Source organism: Homo sapiens, chromosome 13 (genome assembly GCF_000001405.40).
Source record: "Homo sapiens chromosome 13, GRCh38.p14 Primary Assembly".
NCBI classification, from domain to species: domain Eukaryota; kingdom Metazoa; phylum Chordata; class Mammalia; order Primates; family Hominidae; genus Homo; species Homo sapiens.
The window spans coordinates 105,813,244-105,820,144 of NC_000013.11; the positions used below are offsets into that span (position 1 = coordinate 105,813,244).

General features: G+C 38.5%; 1 annotated feature.

The window, feature by feature from the left end:
• Positions 3,454-4,387: an enhancer, noted in NCBI's record as "OCT4-NANOG hESC enhancer chr13:106469046-106469979 (GRCh37/hg19 assembly coordinates)". NCBI's record gives its function as "activates a minimal SCP1, AML or CMV promoter by ChIP-STARR-seq in naive H9 embryonic stem cells {active_cell/tissue: H9 hESC(naive)}" and the evidence as "EXISTENCE:reporter gene assay evidence [ECO:0000049][PMID:30033119]".

The following is a 6,901-nucleotide window of genomic DNA, read 5'->3' on the forward strand; positions in this document are numbered from 1 at the left end:
GTCAACCAGGAATTTCAAAATGCATTTAGGACATTTTTCCTTTTGGTTAAAAAAAATGGCCTCTAACCTATTTGGAACTGAGACTCTCTCTGGGATCTGCTGGCTTGGGAGAAATGCCAATCCTAGCCATTCTCTCACATCAGCTTAGAAGGTTCTATGTATTCATTTTTTAAGTAAAACAGAAAAAAAGCTGAATTGCATTTAATAAATTATATCAATATTGCCTTCTCTTTGAAATAATAAGAGGCACCATGAAGGACCAACACTGCAGCTGAGAATCACTAGTACCAAAATATTTTTCTGTAGGAATAAATATTTGAATATATATTAGAAATTAAGTGATCCAAGTCTTAGATATTTTTCTTCTGATAAAGTCTATTATCTATTCTTCCTTTTGCTTCAGTTGTCTATCTTAAAAAATGCTTTTAATAATGTCTGTGAGGCAGAAAAATTACCCACTCTGAAAATGGCATTATGATAAATTATTTTATTTTTCAAAGAAGCATCAAGATAAATTTGAGTAATTTTAACATACCAATTATTTTTAAAGATAAATAGAAGGGTATCTTTGAATGAATGCTAAAATTTTGAAATAAATCTCTTAATCATTTTGGACATGAACTTGAATATTGTTTTGTAAAATTTTCATTTACACACCCATTAATTATTCAACAAATATCACAAAAACTATTTTTCTCAAGAGTTGAAACTTTTCTTCTCATAAATGTGGGTCTATCTTATGTAGATAAGGGGCAAAAATCTGTTATTTTCTTTTGGCCCAAAATGCCCCAAGCTTCCCATTAAGGGGCTGATCTCATTAGATATCACAGGCTCTGTCATTAATTGTGTGACCTGGGGCAACTTCCTTAGTCACTCTGTCTCTCTTTCCATGTATTCTGAAATAAAGGGAATTGGATTAGATTCTTTTCAAGCCATGAAATGTCAGTTTTGAAATACTTGTGGATAGTCTTGATTTACAATAACACACTTGGACAGTTCAGTATTTAGACAGAGCTTAATGAAAGGGATGCAGAGAATGGCAGAAGCACACAAGGCTGATTCAGGCATAAAAAATTATACGGTGAGCCAGAGAGGCACACCTGCCTTCTTTCTGGGAAAAAAAAAACGTGTGTGACTAACCAATAATCCACCCCAACATTTACAAGGGCGATTAATTAACTGGGAATGCATGATTCTTGAATGCAAACTTGTTTTTATGCAATGTGAGTCATGCAATACAAATTAATGTTGTCTTATAGAGGTGCAATTCTTGTGAGTTGATGCCAAACAGCCAGCAGTCTCCCATTGCCCCATCTTTTCTTAAAGGAGCAAAAGGAGTAGATTAGACTACAACAAATCTCATCATTTCATGTCAAACCTGCCTCATGCTACAGCTCATCCAGCCTGTGCCATATTTTATCACTGTCACACACCCTGGCTCAGTCATTATGCCCTTAGGTGTCCAAAGGTATTTAGAAAACAACAAGACAACTTCATTAAGATTGGCACGGCACCAAAAATCCAGATGCTGAATGCAGTGTGAACAAGAGGGCTGGCACAGACAAGTATCTGGCTCATTAGATGTCTAGGGTGATCACAGCCATCAGCAGGTGTGTCCAGCACCCGTCAGGGATGTGTCACCTAGTGGGCTGTGATTTAGGAGGGGGACAGTGAAATAGTACAACAGAGATGACTGTTGTTGAGGCCAGTGATGGGGACTGATTCTCGATGGTGCTTGGCAGTACCTCAATTCATTTCTTATACATTATCTTATCTTCCCTATCACGCCCTTCAGGGTGTCTCAGATGTACTGCATCGGGATTAGCAAAGTGTTCATTGTGACCTCAGCTAGTCAGGGGCAGAGCTCAGACTAATACCAGATCCCACGATTCAGATACCTTAACTTTTCTAAACTTGCTTAGATAACACATACTTCACCTGTAAGGTAATATACAGATACTTTAGATCCATATGGAAATATGTTGCCTTGATTATCTAGATATTTTAATAAAACATGTTATCTAGATATTTTAGTAACATTTAATTATCTAGAGATTTGAACAAAAGTTAAATTATATAAATATTTAATAACATTTCTTTGATTTTTATTGTTATTGAAAAATTGCTTCAGTTCTCAAAATTCTGTATTAAACAAAATGAAAAAAATGAGCAAAGAAAACTAGATAAATAAATTTTAGTATTGCACTCTAGATAACCTACACTAAGCCAGATAAATGGGGTGGAATTAAGACAGCAAACCATCAAGACTAAATATATCTTTGGATAAGTTATTTGAAGCAATTAAATGATCTTCAAGAAATAGCATCAACTTAAAGATATAATTAACACCAGGAGATAAATACATAACTTCTCCAATACTTATTTTCCCAGTCACCTTGACAAAAGCCACTTTTACAGTATAGTCAGAGGAGTGGAGAGGGCCAGAGCTGGGTGTAGGCCTACGGGGAGACATGGACTGGAGAGTTTTTAGACTTGCATAGACTGATGAGCTTTCAGAGATTTTGCGAGATTTCATAAAATCTTTCTGGGCCTAAGTTTTCTCACCTGTAAAATGAGGGTAGAGATGAAACAACTACATAAAGCACCAACCCACAGCAGATGCTCAGTCAGCACTACCCACACACTGACCATTGAAAGCCCAGGTTTTGCAATTGGTGGGACAGAAAGGTATTTCCCCCTCTGATCTTGAAGCCTTTCTCTGGTACATTATCATGCTTGGTCTTGATTTACAGTTAACTAATTTCTCATCATGCCTTTTGATAAGCTGGTAAACTTGTTCATGTCAGCGCCGCATCGTCATCATTTTTGTTTTTGTTTTTATATTCCTGTAGCAATTCACTGGTGCAATCAGTGACTTATAGTATATGCTCAATAAACTGTTGTATGGAATCATGGAATTTGTAATGTACATTTTTAACAATAAAATTATGTAAAATGATTCAATTACATCGAATCTAAACTTACATTTCTTCACATTTTATTTTATTTGGGAGAAAATGGAAACTTTTTGGAAATACAATAAAAACTTTAGATAGTTACATCACAAGCCTACCGATCTCTGACTCTAGGGTTTGAAAACATAAAACCTAAAAACTCATACAGCAAATTTTGCAAAACTAGAGCTAAACATCTGTTCATTTTATGTAGGGCCTTAGGGCCTTAGGTAACTTGCTAGCACTATCAGTACCCAAAGCGTCAAGAGAAGAAGATGGGAGACAGATGGATGTCTTGCAATTTTTACTTAGTGTTTAAGGAAATTAATTTTTCCTCATTATGCACTGACACAAAATATAGCTTTCACAAATAATTAGTTAGAAAATTAACTCTTCTACATCAAGGGCACATGTTAAGTCTTAAGGATTTTTTTAACCACAGTGAATATATTTTGTCATGATTCCTGAATTTAAGGCAATTAGGAACTGATATGGAGATTAGAGCAAGACAAACAGGTGAAATCACATACATGCCACTTGATCCTTAGTGTTTATTCTAGAGGACACTCAGTTCCTTGGATATTAAATAAATTTGTGTGAGTATGAGATAGCTGGAGAGGAGCTCAAATCAGGGTGTTCATCTCTGTCTCTCTTTCCTTCTCTCTCAACTATTTTTTCCATTGTCTTGTACTCTTTTCTTCCTTGGATCATGATCCCTTTTGGAGTCCCCTCCACTCCCTAAGTGTTTCTGAGTTCCACAAGAACTGCAAGGCTTCCCTCATGGATTATGGCAATTTGGCTTCTGGTACTGACCCAAGCTGAAATAAATAGGTGTCACTGGGTGAGCAGGCAGCCTCAGATTGGAAAGACTCTTCAGACCTCATTTTGCACCTCACTAAGCACAGCAGGTTGGCTCAGCTTTAACTCATGCAAATGAAAAACAAAAGCTGCAGGGCTGATTTTCTTTGAACTTCAGGGCCCTACCTGTAAACAGCACTTAGTTCCCATAGTCACAGACAGGTCAGGAATTTGATTGTTTAACATTCCTCAGAATTTATGGCCTTCGTCTTGATGAGTGAGATCACTCAAAGGAACACTCCTGGAGCAATAGTTTCGAGAATTATTATCACAGCATCTGTTAACACTAATGGCTGCAGGATGCCTGCAGCAGTTCAGAACGATACCCATCGGTATGTGAAAGGCACAGGTAGGATCCTTCGTAAACTCTAACTTGATGCAGACATATTCCTCTATAAACAACATCGATCTCTGGGACAGAAATGAAGAATGTCAGAAAGGATGAGCTCTTGGTCATTTTGTCATGCTGAAGTTTGGGCAGCGATTGAAGAAGGAAGGCTGGGTAGAGGGTCCAGGATTGAATCCTATTTGGAGGTGTGAGTATTGGGTTAGGTGCTGCCTTCCTCTGCTACACCCATTGCTTGCAAGAATCGCCTTGCACAGCAAGCTCAGCCTTGCCCAGACCCAGAGGCAATATTGGCCCCACCTGGCTCATGAGAGCAACTTCCAGACCTGGGCAGAAGGCCAGGAGGTACGTGTGCCATGTAGGGTGGGCATTACATGAGAAGCTCATAAAGCCCAGTGCTTACATAGATGCCCAGGAAGCCAACCAAGGTCACTCTCAGGTTCATAAGAAAGTTCATCTCGGTGATGTTTTTTCACTGATATCTCTCTCTCTCTCTCTCTCTCTCTCACACACACACACACACACACACACACACACACAGAGGTTGGGGGACGGAGTTAGTAAAATACGAATTATTCAAAAAGTAAATGGGAAGGCCTCCATATGGCAGACCAAATGTAACATCCCAAGAATGAAAGCAAGGCCAGGGAGAAGTGGGCAGGCACATTCGGACTGGACAGGTATGGATTAGGTCCAGCAGGGTGAGCCACAACACAGACTCAACCACCTTATGCAAGGTCAGAAGCAGAGTCAGATACTAAGGAACAAGATTTCTGGGAAGCCTGCAATGACAGTCTTCAGCAGTATCTAAACAAGACGGAGGTGGCAGGACTGGGTAAGAACAGAGGTGGCAAGACCAGAGTCATGACATGCAAGGCCAGGCTGATGGCAGCTCTTGCATTCCGGCTCTACCATGCTTGAGTCTGTTTCCTTGAGTAAATCAACTCCAACCTTTGGCCTGTATCCTTCCTCTTTAAAACGTAGTGGATTATACCTAATTGGCTGGGAAATAATCTAGGTAGAGGGCCTACTAGCATAATGCCTGCGATGTTATAGGCTCTTAATAAATACCAGTTTACTTTTACTAAGTCAATTTCCTGTTGTTTATGCTACAACCTCTGCTTATAATTAGGATTGATTTCGGAGTGTGAAAGTGACCTAGACCTCTGAGGGGTCTAGACCAGAACAACACCTGGGAATCTCACAGTAATTTATGGAACTCATTAAAGTCACTAATAAACATAAAGACCTCACCCCCCAAAAAAGTCCAATAACTTCTTGTTTTAAATTAAAATGTAGATTCATGTAAAATATAATTCAAACCTATGACCTGATAAGATGAGAATATTAATTTGCATCATTTTCAATACAAAGCTGTCACAAGAATTTGAGTTGTAAGATAGCTTGCAAGTTTTAGTGGAAAAAGTACAGATGTTGAAGTTACGGGTTCACAGTCCCGAACCTATAATACTGAATATTGTTTTAGTGTCTGTGTCAACTACAGACAACCAAGCCCTGCTTCCCTGCTACATACACAAATACGTCAGCACACTTCCAGGAAGTTCCTCTCCCTGGAAACTTTCAAAAGGCTATTTTTTCTTCTTCTTTTACTAATTGTTATTATTATTACTATTATTTATACAGGGTCTTGCTCTGTCTCTCATGCTGGAGTGCAGTGATGCAATCACAGCTTACTACAACCTGGACCTCCTGGGCTCAAGAGATCCTCCTACCCCAATCTCCCAAGTAGCTGGGACTATAGGCGTGCACTATCATGCCTGGCTAACTTTTGCATTTTTGTAGAGACAGGGTTTCGCCATGTCACCCAGGCTGATGTCAAACTCCTAGGCTCAAGCAATCTGCCCACCTCCACCTCCCAAAGTTCTGGGATTACAGGCGTGAGCTGTTTATTGTTAGACTGATCTTTAAAAAAAGTTTTTAGAGCTTATTTGTTAGTGTAGCACCTATTGAACATGAAGTGTAATATGAGATACACTTATTTATAAAACTTGTATATATAGAGACAATGAGTTTTCTTCTTTTTCACTGGAATGGGGAGTGAGAGGGCTTTTAGCTACTCAGAGAAAAATATTCTTGCTATATTCCTGTTCCAAACAATGATCTGTGAAGCCTTAAGTATAGAAAGCTCAGAAGCTGTATTCTTCTACTGAGTTTGCCCAGAGAACATCTGCTTCAGAAGTATGGAATGCTTCATTTAGCCTTGGTTGTATCTCTAGACATTGGTCTAAAAATCTTAGCTGGAGTGTTTAAATGGGTCAGAAGTGCCCTTGGCCACTAAAGATTTATGTTAAAGTCTTATTTTGTGTTTTGTAAATGTGCTGTACACATGAGTTTTTAAAGCATGAATAAGTTATTAAATGATCAAATATAAGAAACAGAAGATATAATTACATAAAAACATTATCTTACCCAAAAACTGTCACAGAAGAGAGAATTCTGATACAAATATACTGGTTGATTAGGGAGCATGGAATTAATTGCATTTAATTTGTCCAGAAAGTGAGTTGATATCACTACACTAATCAAATTCAGATTTCTGCCTGCTGTTCCATTTCTTTCTCATTCAGAGTGATGTATTTCAGATATATGTTCTACTCCAGGACAATGACTTGTCTGCGAGTTCCCTGGCCTGTCAGGAGACATTAGTGACTGTTGCTAAAACTGCTTCTGCCTCAAACAAAACAATACCTGTATCATGGGTTCCTGGTCAGAAGGAAAAAGG